This window comes from Homo sapiens, chromosome 11, assembly GCF_000001405.40.
Source record: "Homo sapiens chromosome 11, GRCh38.p14 Primary Assembly".
NCBI classification, from domain to species: domain Eukaryota; kingdom Metazoa; phylum Chordata; class Mammalia; order Primates; family Hominidae; genus Homo; species Homo sapiens.
This window is the reverse complement of record NC_000011.10, coordinates 86,980,278-87,001,204: the sequence shown is the minus strand read 5'-3', so window position 1 is coordinate 87,001,204 and position 20,927 is coordinate 86,980,278. Positions and strand designations below refer to the sequence as shown.

Sequence of the window (20,927 nt, the reverse complement as noted above, 5' to 3'; positions counted from 1 at the left end):
CTGAGGCAGAATTGCTTAAACCTGGGGAGGCAGAGGTTGCAGTGAGCTCAGACTGTGCCACTGCACTCCAGCCTGGGCAACAGAGCAAGACTCCATCACAAAAAAAAAAAAAAAAGAAAGAAAAATATTGAAAACTACCTAAATACTTAACAGCGAGTAAACAGTTAAATAAACTATGCTATATATAAACAATTATGCAGCTATTAAAATTGTTTACCCAAACAATATAGAAATTTGGGGAAATATTTGTTATGTTTTTAAATTTTAAAAAAGCCACAACACAAATATATATTTATTACAAAAAGTATATCATCACAACTATTAAAGATATAACATAGTAAAAGATTAAGGATTAAGGATGAATATATCAAATATACTAAATTATTAAGGAATTTTTTTCTTTCCACTTTTTGTTATTTGCCAAATTTTCTATAATGAGCATTGATGACTTTCATAATGGGAAAAAGTAAAATAAACTTCGCTTTTTGAAAAAAAAAATTAATGGGTTGTGTTATGTGTGTTATGTTGACTGATCCCAAATTATCCCCAACTCACTGTGACACAGCCCATCTGACCCAGGGGAGTCGTGTGCATGTATCTCTTTGAAGCTCCAGCCCTGGAGATAAGCCCTCAGCTGACCTGTGGGCCTGCTGATCAGCTAGCAATGTCAGATAAGGAATTTTAAACATAGAAGGAAACTTAGAGGGCCACTGGCTGGTCTACATCAGGAGAGCCCAATCAGTCCAGTTTTTATTTCCTCTGGTCAGTGGCCCTGAAAGAAAGCAAGATTACACTGTAGCTTTTGCACTCTATCCAGGCAGACAGGCTCCACCACTTAAAGAGCTGAGGAATGCATGGCTGCAGAGACAGGGAAACAACACCCATGGAGAAGCACACAGATAAGATCTCCAAACAGAGACTCTGGTTAACAGTTTCCAAGGTCTGAGGAGTAAATAAAACCCTCTAGGACACAGGGAATCACATGCAGGTAGGAAATTCCTGACTTGACCCATTGGAAGGGGTAGGGGCCTTCTGAATTTTTTCTCCTTTTCCTCATTCTTTCACTTGCCAATTATTTTTTGAGTACATAGAATAGCCAGATGTGGCTTCTTATAGGTTTTGCTTATAGACTCATACAAGGTACAACAGGCAGACAGACAATAAGGTCCAGTGTACAGGATGCCATGGCTGTGATATTAGGGGCACCTTCAACTCCTGAGGAAGGCTTTTTGGAGGATGTTAACTCTAAAATAAAACCTTAGAAGAAAGGTGAGCTTGACAGTGGTGCGGCAGAGTTGAAGAGAAGGTTCTCCCAGGCACGGCTATGACCTGCAGGCGAGAGAGAGAGAGAGAACAAATTTGAAGAAGCTTCAGAAACTTGAAATGGAAGGCAGGAAGACAGGAAGTGGTTTCTTCCAGATCCCCTTGATTGAGTTATGGAGAATGGAGAGAGGAAAAAGAAAAAAATGAATATTCTAAAGCTTTCCTCTTCTTCCTCTCAAAATTTTGCCCTTTTCCTTTGTCTTGATCATGCTGTTCTTAGCTCTCTTACCACCTGTGCTGCTGTTTCAAGGTTGCAGAGTAAATAAAGGGACAGAGACAGCCCAATGTTGAGGCCTGAGCTCCATAGAAATGCTGCTGCCATCACACACAGATGAGACTGACCAGGCGGGCCAAAGGTGGCCCATTCATGTTGCCCTTAAACACTGCAACTGCCATTATTTTCAGTTCTAAGGAGCCAATGGTGAGGGTTGGGGTTGTCACTTATTCATTTTGCATATGTTAAGTGCAGAGTGGGTATCCATAGATGTAATTCACAGCCTCATTGGGAAGATAACACATGAAATTATGAATGTTATATATTTACTTTACATGAGACAATAGTGGAGTATGGAGTATAACAAACTTTTCTTGAGTCCTTATTGTGTGTTAGGTATATGCGAAGTGCTGGGGAGAAAAATAATTTTTTTTTTTTTGAGACGGAGTTTCGCTCTTGTTGCCCAGGCTGGAGTGCAATGGAGCAATCCCAGCTCACTACAACCTCCACCTCCCAGGTTCAAGCAATTCTCCTGCCTCAGCCTCCTAAGTAGCTGGGATTACAGGCATGAGCCACCACGCCCGGCTAATTTTGTATTTTTTTAGTAGAGATGGGGTTTCTCCATTATGGTCAGGCTGGTCTTGAACTCACAGCCTCATGTGATCCACCCACTTCGGCCTCCCAAAGTGCTGGAATTACAGGCGTGAGCCACTATGCCCGGCCCCAAAAAATAATTTGTAAAAAGCCTATTCTAGGCGGGGCATGGTGGCTCACACCTGTAATCCCAGCACTTTGGGAGGCCGAGGTGGGTGGATCACAAGGTCAGGAGTTGGAGACCAGCCTTGCCAACATGGTGACACCCTGTCTCTACTAAAAATACAAAAACTTAGCCAGCCATGGTAGCATGTGCCTGTAGGCCCAGTTACTCGGGAGGCTGAGGCAGCAGAGTAGCTTGAACCCGGGAGGCGGAGATTGCAGTGAGCGGAGATCATACCATTGCACTCCAGCCTGGGTGAAAGAGCAAGACTCCGTCTCAAAAATAAATAAATAAATAAATAAATAAAAATAAACTTTTCTAAAGTAGCTCAGGTTATTATAGCCTGCGTTTATATGTAAGGGAAAGAGAACCAAATGGGAAACTGAGGACTAAACTTTGATTTTTTAATCTTGCCCCAATTCCTATCTAAGGAGTCTGGGGAGTCATGCCCTAGAAATCATAAATTCTCATCAGATGGGTTTTATTTAACCCTATATAGCGTGACTTGCTTTCCAACCTGAATCTGGCATAACATTATGAGACAAGGAGGAAAATAAATATATTTTACCCCAGAACATGTTTCTTTGCCATATCTTGAATTGTTCCTGCAAAGCTGTCCTCTGTGGGGAAAATTTGCATCTGTAGAGAATCTCTGTTAACATAGCTAGATCATTTTCTTCCAGGTTCTCCCAATCCTAGAGATTAACTAAAAGTCTAGCACCTTTTGAAGATCTGAATAGGAAACATTTGTCTATTGTCTCTCAGGGCAGCCACTATAAGACTTAAAAGAACCTTGGTCTCCACAATCTTTTATTTTTAACCTGAACATTTTCTTTCTACGATCCCAGGTCTTTAGGTAAACTCAACCAATTGTCAACCAGAAATGTTTAAATTTACCTATAGCCTGGAAGTCCCCCCACCTCCATTCCCACCCCCACCCCCCACCCAACGTGCTTTGAGTTGTCTCACCTTTCTGAACCAAATCAATGTATTTCTTAAATGTATTTGATTGATGTCTCATGCCTCCCTAAAATGTGTAAAACCAAGCTGCTCCCCCCAACAACCTTGGGCACATGTTTTCAGGACCTCCTGAGGCCTGTGTCATGGGCCATCATCACTCATATTTGGCTCAAAATAAATCTCTTCAAATATTTTACAGAGTTTGACTCCACAAAGCAAACACTGAAATGCAGTTTAAAAATAAATAATTGTACTGTGAACCTATTTAGATAGATTCATTAGCTTTCTGTCCTTTTGTACAACTCATTTAAGGGCTGCATTGAATAAAAGGTGGCTGTCTTACGGCTCCTTCACAGATGAGAAAACTCACAAAACTATGATATGGTTAAAAGGACATGAAGTCAGCTTTGAATCAAAACTTGAAATTAGGACTGCCCTCATTCAACTTGTGTCCTTGGGCAAGTTACTTAACTTTTCTGATCCTCCTCATCTGAAACAGGTAACAACAGCTATATGTGGCAGATAATGTCAGTGACCTACTCAGTGACAATGTCCCCTTCTTATCAGAAGCTCTCCCAGTTTTGTTTGGGGGAGGGAAGTGCCTAGCCTAGATGATGGCTCACAAGTGGTTTAAGGCAGGGGTCAGCAAATTTTCCTGAAAAGGGCCAAATAGTAACTATTTTAAACTTCGCAGGCCATTCAGTTTCTGTCACAACTCTGCCATTGTAGTGTGAATACAACCATAGACAATATGTAAATGCATGGGTATAGATATGGTGCAAGAAAACTTTATTTACAAAAACAGGCAGTGGTCCAGACTTGGTTATTGTTTGCCCACCCCTAATCTAACACAACCCTGACAATCCTATCCCTTACTTTCTCTGACTCCTTTGTAACTAAGGGTATCTATGTGAAACATTTGTTGTCAATAATACCTAAGTAGAAGTCTGATGATGGGGTTTCTGGGAAAATTTTTCTTTGCTAACCAAAGGAAGGCTATGTGTGGCCTTATCCTTTTCCCTCAATTCTACCCTTTTTTTTTTTTTTTTTTTTTTAGACAGCCTTACTGTGTCGCCTAGGCTGGAGTGCAGTGGTGCGATCTCAGCTCACTGCAACCTCCGCCTCCTGGGTACAAGCAATTCTTGTGCCTCAGGCAATTCTCGTGCCTCAGGCAATTCTCGTGCCTCAGCCTCCCAAGTAGCTGGGATTACAAATGTACACCATCACCCCTAGGTAATTTTTTTTTTTTTTTTCGAGACACAGTCTCGCTCTGTTGGCCAGGCGGGAATGCAGTAGCATGGTCTCCGCTCACTTCAACTTTCGCCTCCCAGGTTCAAGCGATTCTCCTGCCTCAGCCTCCTGAGTAGCTGGGACTACAGGCGCCCGCCACCACGCCCAGCTAATTTTGGTATTTATAGTAGAGACAGGATTTCACTATGTTGGCCAGGCTGGTCTCGAACTCCTGACCTCGTGATCCACCCATCTCGGCCTCCCAAAGTGCTGGGATTACAGGCATGAGCCACTGAACCCAGCCACACCTCTCTAATTTTTTTTTTTTTTTTGAGACGGAGTCTCGCTCTGTCGACCAAGCTGGAGTGCAGTGGTGTAATCTCGGCTCACTGCAAGCTCCGCCTCCCGGGTTCATGCCATTCTCCTGCCTCAGCCTCCAGAGTAGCTGGGACTACAGGCGCCCACCACCTCGCCTGGCTAATTTTTTTGTATTTTTAGTAGAGACGGGGTTTCACCATGTGAGCCAGCATGGTCTTTGGGAGGTGGGCCTCCCAAAGTTATGGGATTACAGGCGTGAGCCACCGCGCCTGGCACACCTGGCTAATTTTTTTTTTTTTTTTTTCCTGAGACAGGGCCTTGCTCTGTCACCAGGCTGGAGTGCACTGGCGCGATCTTGGCTCACTGCAACCTCCGCCTCCTGGGTTCAAGTCATTCTCTTGCCTCAGCCTCTCGAGTAGCTGGGATTACAGGCGCCCACCACCACGCCTAGCTAATTTTTGTATTTTTAGTGGAGACGAGGTTTCACCATGTTGGCCAGGATGGTCTTGATCACCTAAACTCATGATCCGCCCGCCTCGGCCTCCCAAAATGCTGGGATTACAGGCGTGAGCCACCGCACCCAGCCACACCTGGCTAATTTTTGTATTTTTAGTAGAGACAGTTTTGCCATGTTGGCCAGGCTGGTCTCAAACTCCTGGCCTCATGTGATCCACCCATCTAAGCCTCCCAAAGTGCTGGTATTACAAGCATGGGCCACCGTGCCTGGCCTCTCTCAATTCTGCCTCTAATGTGGATGTGATATCTGGAGCTACTGTAGCCATCTTGCAATTATGAGACATGAACAAAGCTAAATGTTAACTTGCTAAGGATAGTAATGCAGACAGAGATTAGTTTTTCAATGTCGTCACTGAGAAGCTGCATCAATATCAGCACCACCTAGTGGACTACTCCCATAAATTTTAATCCACTGCAGTCAGATTTTCTGCATTTTCCAGCCAGATCTATCACCAAATAATTTTAATATATCACAGGCTTATTGTGAATATTCACTGAAGTTAATATACAAATCATGTGGCATATAGCAGATCCTCAATAAATGATGGTTCTCTTCACATCTCATTTCACAGAAAATTGCTATCATTCCCGTTATGGTGAGTATTAACATTTTGCACAAGCTCCTTTTAAGAATAAGTCCCCCAGCTGGGCCGGGCGCAGTGGCTGATACCTGCAATCCCAGCACTTTGGGAGGCTCATGGATCACAAGGTCAAGAGATTGAGACCATCCTGGACAACGTGGTGAAACCCTGTCTCTGCTAAAACTACAAAAATTAGCTGGGCATGGTGGTGCCTGTAGTCCCAGCTACTTGGGACACTGAGGCAGGAGAATTGCTTGAACCCGGGAGGTGGAGGATGCAGTGAGGCGAGAGTGCACCACTGCACTCCAGCCTGGCAACAGAGCGAGACTCCATCTAAAAAGAAAAAAACAAAGAGTAAGTCCCTCAGCTGGAATATTTTTTAAGGGTTATCTCTAGTTTCACTCTAATTTTAAGTTTATTTATTTATTTTATTATTATTATTATTATTTTGAGTCAGAGTGTCACACTGTGGCCCACCTAGAGTGCAGTGGCATGATCTCGGCTCACTGTAACCTCTGCCTCACAGGTTCAAGGGGTTCTCCTGCCTCAGCCTCCCAAGTAGCTGGGATTACAGGCGCATGGCACCCCACCTGGCTATTTTTTTTTTTTTTTCCGAGACAGAGTCTTGCTCTGTTGCCCAAGCTGGAATGCAGTGGCCTGATCTCGGCTCACTGCAAACTTCGCCTCCTGCGTTCAAGCGATTCTCCTGCCTCAGCCTCCCAAGTAGCTGGGATTACAGGCCTGCGCCACCATGCCCAGCTAATTTTTGTATTTTTAGTAGAGACGGGGTTTCACCACGTTGGCCAGGCTGGTCTCGAACTCCTGACCTTGTAATCCGCCTGCCTTGGCCTCCCAAAGTGTTGGGATTACAGGTGTGAGCCACCACACCTGGCCTGATTTTAAGTTTCTAAGACCTCAGAAAGACTAGGAAAGGGAAGGAATAGAAATAATTCTAGTTTAGCAGGAGCCTGAGTATGAAAAGATCAGAGGTGATCGTCAAGCAAATTGGAGATAACACACTCTCTCTAGTAACTACTAATGAAAGTCTCCTTCTGCATTCCCTTTCTGGGTTGCTTGCCATGGTTTCTCATGCCTGCCTAAGACTGACTTCAGGCGTGAAGATAAATGTATGTATGTATATGTACTTACTAATGCAAAAAAGGATTATACCATTAAATCAACTACTGTCAAATTACCACATTTCATCACATATAGGCTATAATTATGGCAAGTCTAAGCTAATCTTTTTTTCCTGCTTCCCACAATAATCTAGCTTCGTCTACTTCCCTACTACTTATATACTAATATATACTTATATACTAATGTATATGCCAACATATACATAATAAACTGAATTTTTGAAGGGATATTTTCATGAACATATTATAGAAATAACCATTTGGGGGCCACTTTAATTAGCCTCAGTAAGATTTAAGCTACCTATTGCAAAAAAAAATTATATTGTGTGTCTGGAAAATGTTTTTAAAATTCACCTAATGTTTGAACTATTGATTCATTAGTTCTCTAAGAAGAATATTTTCTCTTCATGTAAATTGGTGGACGGACAGATAGGCGGGCCATTAGAAATAGGAAAGGATAATGTGAACAATGAGCAGCAGTGATTGGCTGTCTCTTTGTCTTGGCCTGGCTTTGTGAGAATTATTCAAATTCTCTGTTGCAGCTATTCAGATCTGCTGCTGTAATGTGAAAGCAGCCACAAACGATATGAAAGGAAATGCACATGGATGTGTTTCAGTAAAATCTACTTTAAAAAATCAGGTGGTGCTCCAGATTTGCTTCATGGTCATAGTTTTCCCGTCGTTTCACTGGACTATACACACTGGGATATAGTCCGGGAGGGCCTCTTGGAATAACAACAGCCATTCTGCTACCAGCCTGAGGATGGAGAAAGATAGGTACAGATAAAGAAAAGAGCTGGTTCCTTCACAGAAGCTTCTAATCCTGATGCATCTAGAACTCACCCTCACTTTGTGCTTCTTATCTTGGGAGATATGAGATTTCCTCTTCATTTACATCTGTTGGGCTTTTCTTTTACTTGTAGCCAAGGGCACCCTTGCTGCCATATGTCCCTAAGAGGAAATACTCTCGCTTGTCTATTTCCTCACTTGCTTGCCGTGGAATGGTAAATGTACTAAAGGCTGGTAGCAGTAGGATAAAAAAGGAAGAAAATAAATGCCTCCTTACTGCAGACTTCCTGGAGCAAGGATTCATTTGAATTTAGTAAACTTGAAAATCCTTCTAGAATTGCGACACTGTGGAATACTCTGAACTATCACTGATCAGCTACAGTAGTGTTTAAAGAGGTTTAAAGATGATTTGGAAAGATGCGGATATTTTATTGCACCTTGCCATGATTATTTATAAAAAAAACAAGAGAGAAACTGTCCTCAGCCATGTTTAGTTTCTATTATATTTCTTTGGCAGTCCTAGGCTATGATTGTTCCTATTTTTGCTTTATGAATGTAATAACCTCTAAAATGCCTCCTAGTATGCCTATTAGATCTTGTTCCCTTGTTTAGTGGACTAACTTCCCTGAGCCATTCATCTGTACTTTCATTTGTCTCTTATCGCTTCATGTGTAAAAATTTTATCTCTACCAATTTAGACAGAAACTCTTTTATAGCAGGAAACATTTCATAGATCTCACAGAATTGGGCACTTAACAGATATCCAACATACACATTATTAACTGAATTTTTTTTTTTTCGAGATGGAGTCTTGCTGTGTTGCCCAGGCTGGAGTACAGTGGCGTGATCTCAGCTCACTGCAACCTCTACCTCCCAGGCTCAAGCAATTCTCCTGCCTCAGCCTCCCAAGGAACTGGGATTACAGGCACATGCCACCACACCTGGCTAATTTTTGTATCTGTAGTAGAGATAGGGTTTCACCATGTTAGCCAGGCTGGTCTCAAACTCTTGACCTCAAGTGATCCGCCCACCTTGGCCTCCCAAAGTGTTGGGATTACAGGCGTGAGCCACCATGCCTGGCCTTAACTGAATTTTTGAAGGGGTATTTTCATGAACATATTATAGAAATAACAGTTTGGGGCCATTTTAATCAGCCTCAGTCTGATTTAAGCTACCTATTGCAAAAAAATTATATTGTGTGTCTGGAAAATGTTTTAAAAATTAACCTAATGTTTGAATTATTGATTCATTAGTTCTCTAAGGAGAATATTTTCTTTACATTGAAACTTGTACAGTATGAACCTGTGCCATGGAAACCCATTCTAGCATGCAGTTGTTACAATCAACAAACCACAACATATACAGATTTACTTACTTTCTTTTTTTGAAATACACAAAACATTCATTGTTATGTATAAATATCAGAGATTGGCCTGTAACTTTGAGGCAGTTTTCAAACACAGTTGGGCAAAATCATAAAAGTAGTAGGGAAGGCTGGGTGCAATGACTTACACCTGTAATCCCTGAACCTTGGGAGGCCCAAGCGGGTCAATCACTTGAGGTCAGGAGTTTGAGACCAGCCTGGCCAACGTGGTGAAACCCTGTCTCTACTAAAAATACAAAAATTAGCTGGGCATGACGGCACACACCTGTAATCCCAGCTATTTGGGAGGCTGAGGCAGGAGAATCACTTGAATCTGGGAGGTGGAGGCTGCAGTGAGCCAAGATCGTGCACTCCGCCTGGACAACAAGCTGTGACTCGGTCTCGAAAAAAAAAAAAAAAAAAGTAGTAGAGAAGTAGACAAAACTAGATTATTGTGGGAAGCAGGAAAAAAAAGATTAGTCTAGTTTAGACTTGCCTTAATTATAGTCTATATGTGATGAAATGTGGTAATTTGACACTAGTTGATTTAATGGTATAATCCTTTTTTGCACTAGTAAATCACCACAAATTGCCTTTTATACAAATTATGTTACAAGAAGTATAATTCTATTTGAGAGATTGCTTAAACAAAGGGGGTGGAATTTTAAAGGTGGGCTTTAAAAAGCAGAAACTTTCTTTTCCTCTTAAAAACTGGAATTCCTACAGACTCTAAGCGTCTTTTTAGAAAAAAATACAGGTGTATTTTCCTAGAAACTAAAAACTATGCATAACCCCAAAAGTCCAAAGATAATCACTGCACACATTTTGGAGCAGTTCCTTCTAGTTTTTCGTTCTCTCTCTCTCTTTCATGGAAAAAGACAGATTTATTTTAATATCTATGGTTAGATCATATTGTACATCATAAACATTTTCCCAGATCAGTAAGAACTTTTTGTTAAGTTTTGTGCATTATCTTTTATTTTAGTCATTTTTCAGTATATTATATCCTCCCTCTCCATTTTAGTTTAAAAGATAAACTCATGGTATGTAAAGAGATTTTTCAAGTAAAAATCATTCATAATCCTATTATTCTAGTATAACTATTTCCATTTTTCCTACTCTTTCCCTTTCAGAGCTAATGCTATTACACGACAAATATGCCTCAATTTAACCACGGAATTCTTTTTTCAGAGAGCACCTTATGATGGTGGTTCATGAAATGTTGATCCTAGATCAGCAGGAGCAGCAGCATCATCACTTAGGAATTTGTTAAAATGCAAATTCTCAGGCTCCTACTGAATCCAGAAACCGGGGAGGGAGGAGAGACAGAAATGTGTGTGTGTGTGTGTGTGTGTGTGTGTACAAGCTATGAAGCAATTCTGACACACATTGAAGTTTGAGAACTATTGTCTTATGGAATCAACAATTTGCAGATCATTCTTTGGGAAGCAGTCTGCAAAAGTGCCTTTCTGACCAGTCTCTATATTTCCTGGAAGGTTTTAGATAAAAACCGCTGGCTGCCTCTATTCCCTCAAGGGTAGAATAAGGATATATTAGCTACCTTCCAAGATAAGGATTAAATACAATAATTAGTAAAAGTGTTCTGTAAACTATAAGTAGTGAAATGGTATATAGATAGAGTTATTGTAATGGTGACCCTGAGTCTAAGCTGACAGACTTATATTACTAAGCTCTGGGGAAAGCCAAGTGGAATGTGGACACAGATGGTTCTTAACTTTCACACAGTCAACTTTTATACAGCCCGATTTTCACACATTACACATGCCACCCCTAAAATGCCTTTCCAACACCAAATCTGGAATTTCATACACTTGCAGTTTAATGAGCAATTTGAGGTATCCCATGGCTGCACCACCTGCCAGCCCACAGCCCTACTTTGGCAGGGCCACATCTTTTTCTGTTCAGCAGTTTTTGTCCATATTTTATTGCATCTTGCCATGATTATTTATAAAGAAAACAGGAGAGAAACTGTCCTCAGTCATGTTTAGTTTCTATTACATTTCTTTGGCAGTCTTAGGCTATGATTGTTCCTATTTTTATGAACATGATAGCCTCTCAAATATCTCCTAGTACACAAATTAGTATTTCTTGCAAGTTCACTGCTCTCTGAGACATCTCTGCTTCCTCTGGTCAGTTTGTCCTTTCTCCTTCTTAATCTTGATGTCTGTCTGGTGATCGCTAGTTGTCTGTTTGGATTTTAGGTATCTGGCATGGGCTTCCTCTGCAGCTACTCAGACTTGTTTTTCCCAACAGGTCTCTCCCCTAAAAGAAAGTGTGGCTGTGGCTGTGTGTAAGTGGATGGGGCTTGATCAAAAGATGTCACTTTAGGGAGCATGGGCATGGGGCAGACAAGCAGGCTGAAGACCCTTTGCCTTCCCTACCTCATTACTAGAATAAGTAGGGTTTTACTTTGGCATGGGAAGACTTCAATACATTTTTTTCCTAAGCAAAGATAACATAGTTTTTATTTCTCCTGGGTCTATTTTGGAAGTGTCTATTTGTCTTTCTCAGCTCTCTATCCCCATACAACATTATCCCTCCAAATAGGAAGTTTACATTATTTGGAGGGGTAGTCTCTTGGGGTTTTAACCCAGGGTCCAGGGCTGCTGCGGCTGCTGGCTACTCAGTGGTGGTGGTAATGGGGGATCCGGGACATGACTGGCTTTGCTGCTCCCGGATGCAGGTCTGTAATTAATTATCCTGACACTTGTCTCAGGACCCCCTTCTGCTTTTGACTTGTAGTCACCCTGACTCTGAGCTATCGATCTCTCTAGAACAGTAGCTCTCTAAGTATAGTGCCTGAACTAGCAGCATCAGCAGCACCTCGGAACTTGTTAAAAAGGCAAATTGTTTATCCAGAATAATGCTGATAAACATTTGGTTGTTTCTAGATTTTTGACTATTATAAGTAACGCTTCTGTGAACATTCTTACACAGATGTTTTTATGAATATTATCTTTTCATTTCGTAAATTCCTAAAAGTAGAATTGCAGGACAAACTCAATCTAATCCAATCCCAAAATTCTACATAATTATGATCCACTGATGGTACAGTGTTATGAATTTATTGTTTTTATGGTTGCCAGATAAAATATAGCATGTCCAAAATAGTGCATTTGGGACATACTTATACTAAACAATTGTCTGTTGTCTATCTGAATTCGAATTTAACTGAGCGTGTCCAGTATTGTTTTAATTTTTGCTAAGTCTGTCAACCCTAAATCTTTTTAAAATTTTCATTTATGTTAATTTAAGGGCTTTGGAGGGTGGGAAAAGCAAGATTGACTTGCATAATCATTTCATCACCTCGATCCAAGAAAGAAATTTGGTAAAGGCTGATAAGCCATTTCAGTTAGCATCATAATTTATTGATCAGTCCACTCATTTCCCTGCAAAATACCTTGCCCAAGCCAGTGAAACATCACCATCAGAAAGTCCTCCTTCCTAACACTAAATCAATGTCTTATGTCAACAAAATGTCACATAAGTTGGCTAACAGCCAGAATTTGAGGTAAGAAATTACTTTAGGTCAGTAATTTTATTGTCTGTATTCAATGTTTGTCTTTTGAACATTTTTAATAATCACATATATATTGTATAAGACTCGGGTTTCTATTTTTAATTCAAGATTAAAATATTTATAATATATAATAGGGAATTTATATTATTTTTAGCTCTTGGGGATAAAATTCCTCACATAACATGTGAAGTTATTGCTTGATTTTTATATATTACACTTTTCATTTATATTTTCAGGGCCTCATTAAACAGAAAAATAGAACTGCCTCCAAAAAGATGTAATGGGAAGAAAAAAATTTAGGTGTAACCATTATACCCTTGAGTTAGAAAAATAAATATCTACGTATTTTATTAGCTTTCTAGCAAGTTTATATCAATCTTGTTACCCTATCGTAAGTTTTTACTGGATAAACTATCCCAGTAAAGTTAGTTCTCTTTTAGCAGTTATGGACGTTATGATGAGATTATTATACATTCTGTCTTATGAGTATTTTGGACTTCCACTTCTTCATCCTGTAATTTTTAAAATGTGGGCTCCTTGTACTCCACTGCTTTGGTACTCCACTGCTTTGGTACAATCTCTTGTGGTGAGTTGGTGGAAGGACACCACCCTGGCCCTGAGGTTCCTGGCAGAACATTATTCTGGTGGGGCTGTGGTTGCTATTGAGTTATTGCTGAGGAATCATGTCCAAAGCTTATCCTCAGTTTGGGTTTTGCCTATGCATTAAATATTAGTGGTTTTATTCCCTTCACAGTTCCCATTTGAATAATAATAATAAAAAAAAACTGTTGTGAAACAGGATTTCCAGAGGTGGTAGAAAAAGCTCCAGGTCCAATGAAGCTCAGATTGCTTTGCATACAGTGGATTCACTCCTGTTTTATTCAATCATTTTTGAGAGGTGAGAGGAATTTTGCCTCTAGATGGTTTTTCATATCTGGTAGAAACATTAATGATGATAATAATTAGCACTTACCACGCACAAACTTAAGTATTACTTCAAGCACTTAATATGTATTTCTTGCTTATAAGAGTCATTATTGGCTGGGTGCGGTGGCTCACGCCTGTAACCCCAGCACTTTGGGAGGCCGAGGCAGGCAGATCATGAGGTCAGGAGTTCGAGATCAGCCTGACCAACATGATGAAACCCCGTCTCTACTAAAAATACAAAAATTAGCCGGGCGTGGTGATGCACGCCAGTCATCCCAGCTACTCAGGAGGCTGAGGCAGGAGAATAGCTTGAACCAGGGAGGCGGAGGTTGCAGTGAGCCGAGACTGCGCTACTGTGCTCCAGCCTGGGCGACAGAGTGAGACTCTGTCTCAAAAAAAAAAAAAAAAAGAGTCATTATCATAATCAGTAGAATTTATAAAGCTCCATATATAAGCTGGGTCATTTGCATACATTATTTTAATCTTTACAATGCTTTAGAGAAGTATTTAGAGATCAGGAAATGAGGCACTGACAAGTTAAGAAACATGTCCGAGATTATACGCTGGGGCGCGGTGGCTCACGCCTGTAATCTCAGCACTTTGGGAGGCTGAGGTGGACGGATCACTTGAGGTCAGGAGTTCGAGACCAGCCTGGCCAACATGGTGAAACCCCATCTCTACTAAAAATACAAAAATTAGCCGGATGTGGTGGCACATGTCTGTAATCCCAGTTACTTGGGAGGCGGAGGCAGGAGAATCGCTTGAACCTGCAGAGGAGGCAGTTGCAGTGAGCCGAGATGCTGCCACCGCACTCCAGCCTGGGCGACAGAGTAAGACCGTCTCAAAATAAATAAATAAATAAAAATTATACAGGTAGTAAATCACAGAATGGGTATTTAAACCCAGATTCCCAAACCCTTTTCATGTAACACGGTTGACTCAGTTTGCATACTTAAAAAACACTTGGCCACTTATCTTTTTTTTTTTTTTTTTGAGATGGAGTTTTGCTCTTGTTGCCCAGGTTGGAGTACAATGGCGTGATCTCGGCTCTCCACAACCTCCGCCTCCTGGGTTCAAGCGATTCTCCTGCCTCACCCTCCCTAGTAGCTGGGATTACAGGCATGTGCCACCACACCCAGCTAATTTAGTATTTCTAGTAGAGACGGGGTTTCTCCATATTGGTCAGGCTGGTCTCAAACTCCCGACCTCAGGTGATCTGCCCGCCTTGGCCTCCCAAAGTGCTGGGATTACAGGCATAAGCCACCGCGCCTGGCCGGCCACTTATCATTTTATTTTACTTTGACAAGATACTATTAACTCAATTTAAAAGGTAAGGAAAATTAGACACAAAGAGGTTAAATGGCTTGCCCAGTCTCACACATTAAAGGAGAATTTTCCTGAAACCCCTACTTTCTGGCCATTGATGTAATACCTTTTCAGCTATTTATGCATCCTATGACTGGATGAAGTCACATTAAGAGGACATAGTGTTGTAGAAAAACACCAGGTTCTTGTCACACGACCAGGAAAATTTAGGCACACAGACACAATTGTAGTGTGAGTAGGGCAGGGTTTATTGGCTGAAAAGGAAAAAACGAAAAAGGAACTCTGAGCAAAGTGAGATAGAGTCCTACTAACAGATCTCCCACCTCATAGACCGATTCCCAGGTCACCACACAGGAACTGAAGAGGCCAGGCTCCTTCCCCTGCAAATGGCAGGAACTTTCCCTGGCTCCACTCACCTCCCCCAGTGCGCAGGTGGGCATTATTCAGAGAGAATCAATCGGGAAACGGTACGCTTCATCCGGGACCATCAGTCTGGTTTTTCAGCCTTCAGACTTTTAGGCTTGGAGGTGGGGTTTCACTGGGGATGCTTGGCTGCCTCCTGTCTCTATCTATAGTTTTAAATCCTTGAACTCAAAGCAAACCTTAAGAAGGCCATCATCCTTGAATTCTTAGTTCCCACATTATTCATTGTTTATACCTAGTTGTGGTGAGGAAAGAGGCAGTTGTTAGATTTCCAAGAATCCAGAAATCCTCAGTGAGTGCCAGCAAACGCTGATCTTCAAAGATAGATGGTCTTCAACAGTTTTACCTTTCAAACCACACTTCCCAATAAAAATTATCCTCCACAGAAAGTCCAAAGTAAGCTCCAGGCCTGGATCCCAGTCCCCAGGTTCTAGGAGAGGGTGTCACCCCACAACACATGGGAAATGTGGCCAGTCATTTAGCTTCTCCATCTCCATCAAGTTGCCTTTGATGGCAAAGCCAGATGGGCTTCTCTGGGTACCACTTGACTTCCTGCTTACCTTATGGGGCCCTCCTCTTCTTTTAACCTTCCTCTTTCATTAGTTCCCTGCACAAATGCTTCTCCTTGCCAAGAAGACACATTGACGCAAATGATCAGATAAATATGCTAATAATTTTTCTTGGCAAATCAACTCCATGTCACCTCAGGACTCTACACACTTTCTTCCAACTACTTGACAGCCCTATCCACTTACAATCACAGAGTTCTTAAAACCCAGGTGCAGGTTGAGCCCAGATTCTAATTTCAAATCTCTGTTGGCTCGCACTTGGGATATGTTCTGTCTTCCGTCTCCAGCTGGCCCGCTGTTGTGCCCTTTCCTCTGGAACGAAGACTTCTCCACATTCATCTCCACATTCCTCACACTTGGACTAGTGGAATTTATAGCTTGCTAACTCAGCCTTGCCCCAGAGAGCAAGCAAAAGGGAATTGAGTTCAGGGCCTGCCTGCTGGCCAGGGAATAGAATAGGCAAAGCTCCAACTTTTGACCTTTGTGCCCAATTTTTCCTTCCTTGCCTTGCCCTCCATCCCCATTTTAAAGGTCTCTGCTTAACTTTCTCAGCACCCAGCGCTTATTACTGCCTGGTTAAGGCCCAGCAAGAAAACCCTCAAGTTTGTGAAATCAGAATTTTTTCCCTGCCTCAAGAAGAAAGTCCAGTAGAGACAATTTTTTGAAACATGCACTACCTGTTTTAGACCCCTATGGTGGCATTAGGTAAAGCAATCCTATAAAATTTACCGTGAAATTGGGTGAACTTCTACTCCATTGTACTAAAAGGTAAGGTAGATGCCCATAAGAGTTCATATGACTTCTAAGAGTTCCAGGAAGCAACTTAAAGAGAGGACATCATCAAATCAGTGCCCCTTCAGTCTTTTCCTGTTTTACTGAAAGCAAGAGACACCTGGACTCATTTACTCATTCATTCTACAAACATCAATGAGCTCCTGCTCTGGGCCAAGTATGAGTTATGTGCTGATGTATACCATGTAAATACAAAATAACACAATTCCCTGCCTTCAAAAAGTTTGAAGAGGGATTCAAGATTCATGTTCCATTTCCAGTGGCTTGACCTGTCCTGTCCAACTGCTGAAGGCTGGAAAAATATTGCCCCTCTCCTCCTGCTTCATCTCCCATCTCACATGGTAGTGGGTGGAAATAGAGACAGACCAGGTGCAAATTCCCCTTCCCTCCTAGTGTTCATCATTTTGTAACCTCTAGTCATCTTGGTCTCTTTGTCTATAAAATAGTAGGTAATATTTAATGTGTACTTTGCAAGGTTTCTGATAATTAGAAATAATTAGGCTGGTGCAGTGGCTCATGCCTATAATCCCAGCACTTTGGAAGGCTGAGGCAGGCAGATCACTTGAGGTCAGGAGTTCGAGACCAGCCTGGACAATATGGTGAAACCCTGTGTCTACTAAATATACAAAAATTATCTGGGTGTGGTGGCAGGTGCCTGTAATCCCAGCTACTTAGGAGGCTGAGGCAGGAGAATTGCTTGAGCTGGGAGGCGGAGGTTGCAGTGAGCTGAGATTGCATCACTGCACTCCAGCCTGGGCAATAGAGTGAGACTGTTTCAAAAAAAAAAAAAAAAAATATATATATATATATACACATATATATATATAATATAATAATTATTATTATTTAGGTAAAGTATCTGGCACACAATAATTGATAATAAGAGCTATTATAATAAATGGAATGAGATACAGGAGTTGTCCAATAAGTAACAGCTATTAATATGGTAGTTCTTTGTCTTCAATCCACAACTCAAAGGGCTGATGTGTCAAGGTGAGGGTTAATGGATGTGGAGGATTATTTTCCCTGGCCGCTTTCTCATCCTCTATTGTGCAAGCCCTGTTTGTGCAAGCCTTTCTGTTCTATCCTAAGGAGGTCAGGGTGTGTCTACTCCTGAGGCTGGCCAAGTTCTACCTGCTGAAGTTTCCTGTGCAGCTAGGGGTCAAGCAGTTGGCAAAGTCAAGCCAGCCAGCTGCTGTGATGTGATACTTCTGAAGGAAATCCTGGATGGGTCCTGCAAGGGAGTTGCAAGCTGCAGCCTGGATTAACCCAGGCTGTTCGTCAGTGTGCCTCAGCTGCTCGTCCACTCTCTGCTGGGCAGCTGGGCAAGAACTCCAGGACCGCCACTCCCCACTGCCCAGAAGAGGGAACAGTGGGGATTTCTGATCAGTACATGTCCTCTTTCCCAGAAAAGGGATTAAGTGTGCCCTGACAGTATACTCTGCCATCCTTCTTTCTTAGGGAGCGAGGTGGGTGAGAAAATGGCCCTGAACAGTCCACTTGCCCTAATCCCTTTAGCTGCTTCATTCTGCCATCAAATACTGTACCTCAGCAAGCAATCTACTGGCATCAAATGTGTCTGTGTTCTTGGTAAAGTGAGGATAATAATGCCAACCTCAGAGCGTTGTTATAAGAAGTCAATGAGAGCTCACATGTGAAAGCACTTACCAAATTGCCTGGCACATGGTAACTACACAATACAGGCTAGTGTTCCCTTTTTAAAAATAATTATGTATGGTGGTATTATGTCGTGTAAGGAAAACAAGCCCTTAAGTATCTATCAGAACTCCACTGTAGGTGACCAAAACCTGACTATAACCTATATTAGAAAAAACAAAAATCGAATTATTGGCTCATGGAACTAATAGGCATGGCTAGATCTTGACGCTCAGATAAAGTTTTCAGGGCTTGCTGTCTCTGTCTTTATTTCTTAGCTGGCTCTGCTTGGGCTCCGATTCTTTTTGCTGTTGGCTTCATTCCTCCTGCCATACACAGGATCTCTCCCTGTGGAAAGGAAGATGGCCATGGAAATCTTGATCCAAAAGGAAGCAGCACATACTCTCTCCCAGTGTCCACGTATCAAATCCCGTGGCAGGACTTTGGCCCTTTGTGGGTCACATGCCCATGCCCACACCAGGAGTCAACAAACTATGACCCACCGGCCAAATCCAGCCTGACTCTTGTTTTGGGGCAGCATATGAACTAAAAATGGGTTTGTCATTTTTAAATGATTGGGGAAAAAAATAAGAGTAATATTTTATAACACCTGAAAATTATATGAAATTCAAATGTCAAGGTCCATAAATTTCAGTTTTATTGGAACACAATCACACCCATTTGTTTCTGTATTGTCCATAGTTGGTTTTCCACTGTCATAGCAAGTTGAGTAGTGGTAACAGAGGCCACACGGCCCACAAAGCCTAAAATATTTGCTATCTGCTTTTTACAGAAAAATTTTGCTGACCTTGCCCTAGACCAATCATGGTAAACAAGAAGATAGGACAGACACTCTGATGGCCAGATCTGAATCATTTGCCCAGCCCTATAGCTGGGAGACAGGTAGGGTAAGAAGAAAAAGACTTTACAGTTACCGAGCACTTACCACGCATGAGGCACTTGCTATGAGTACTTCATTCCTATTAACTTATTTAATCTTTACAAGAATCCAATTGGTAAAGATTTTTGTCATCCTCGTTTGATAGATGAAGAAACTAAGGCACAGAAAGGTTAAGGAATCTTTCAAAAGTTACACAGCCAATAAGTGGTAGAGCTGAGATTTTTTGTTTGTTTTTTTTTAGATGGAGTCTTGCCCTGTCACCTAGGCTGGAGTGCAGTGGTGCGATCTTAGCTCACTACAACCTCTGCCTCCTGGGTTCAAGCGATTCTCACACCACAGTCTCCCGAGTAGGTGGGATTACAGGCATGCACCACCACACCCAGCTAATTTTTGTATTTTCAGTAGAGATGGGGTTTCACCATGTTAGCCAGGATGGTCTTGCACTCCCAGCCTCAAGTGATCCACCCACCTCAGCCTCCCAAAGTGCTGGGATTACAGGCGTGAGCCACCACACCTGGCCAGAGCTGAGATTTGAACCATACTATCTGCTCCAGAGTTCACTTTTGAGCCTGATAGAATCTGTTCTAGCAAAACAAAGTGGAATAGGGGTGGGAGGAGAATGGGTTTCCTGGGTAAAGAGTGGTGCTGGGGAAAAGAAACAACAGATATCCGGCCGGGCACAGTGGCTCACGCCTGTAATCCCAGCACTTTGGGAGGCCGAGGCGGGCAGATCACCTGAGGTCAGGAGTTCAAGACTAGCCTGGCCAACATGATGAAACCCGTCTCTACTGAAAATACAAAAAAAAATTAGCCAGGCATGGTGGCAGGCACCTGTAATCTCAGCTACTCAGGAGGCTGAGGCAGGAGAATTGCTTGAACCTGGGAAGCAGAGGTTGCAGTGAGCTGAGATTGTGCCACTGCACTCCAGCCTGGGTGACAACAGTGAAACTCTGTCTCAAAAAAAAAAAAAAAAAAGAGAGAGAAACAACAGATATCCATCAGTGTCAGATAAATATAGGTCTGAAATTTTTTTACTTAGCTTCTTAGAACCTTAGGTTTTTAAAAATCTAGTGTGAAGTAGATAAGGTGTATTCTTTAGGGTGGTCAAAAAGATAGTTAACATTCATTGAGTACTTACTCTGGGCTAATACTGAGTATTTTACGGTTGTTGTGTCACTGAGGAAAGCAAAGCTTAGAAAAGTTACATAGATTGCCCAGAGTCACATGGTAAGGTAGCACTCAGGCCTTGATGAGAAGCCACGTCTATCTGACTCAAGTGCCTAGGCATGTAACCGCTACACACCACTGCCCCTCATCTGAGAGAATGAAGGGAGATAAGATATCAAATGGACCTAGAAGAAAGCTTGATATATTGTAGACACTCAATTAAAGTTAGTTTCCTTTCTTCCCCTTTGCTGACTTTTCTGTTCACATTATGAAGTTTTATGAGCAAGAAATCCATGTGTATCCTTGAAGAGTCCTGTTGCCTCTATCTTTGCAGTTAATATTTAAAAGAATAAAATCACTCTTTAATCAGTGCTGCTATCAAAAAGGCAGAGCAAAAATAGCAACGGTTCAGAGAAGGGCAGTGAAAATAATTTG

General features: G+C 41.9%; 1 long non-coding RNA gene across 1 annotated transcript in view; it reads right to left on the bottom strand.

The window, feature by feature from the left end:
- Nucleotides 1-254: 254 nt before the first annotated feature.
- Nucleotides 255-20,927, bottom strand: part of FZD4-DT (FZD4 divergent transcript) — a 45,330-nt gene continuing 24,657 nt past the window's right edge. Inside the window, exon 3 of the long non-coding RNA NR_038905.1 lies at nt 255-1,329. This is a non-coding gene — a long non-coding RNA (FZD4 divergent transcript). The remainder of the gene's footprint in view (nt 1,330-20,927) is intronic.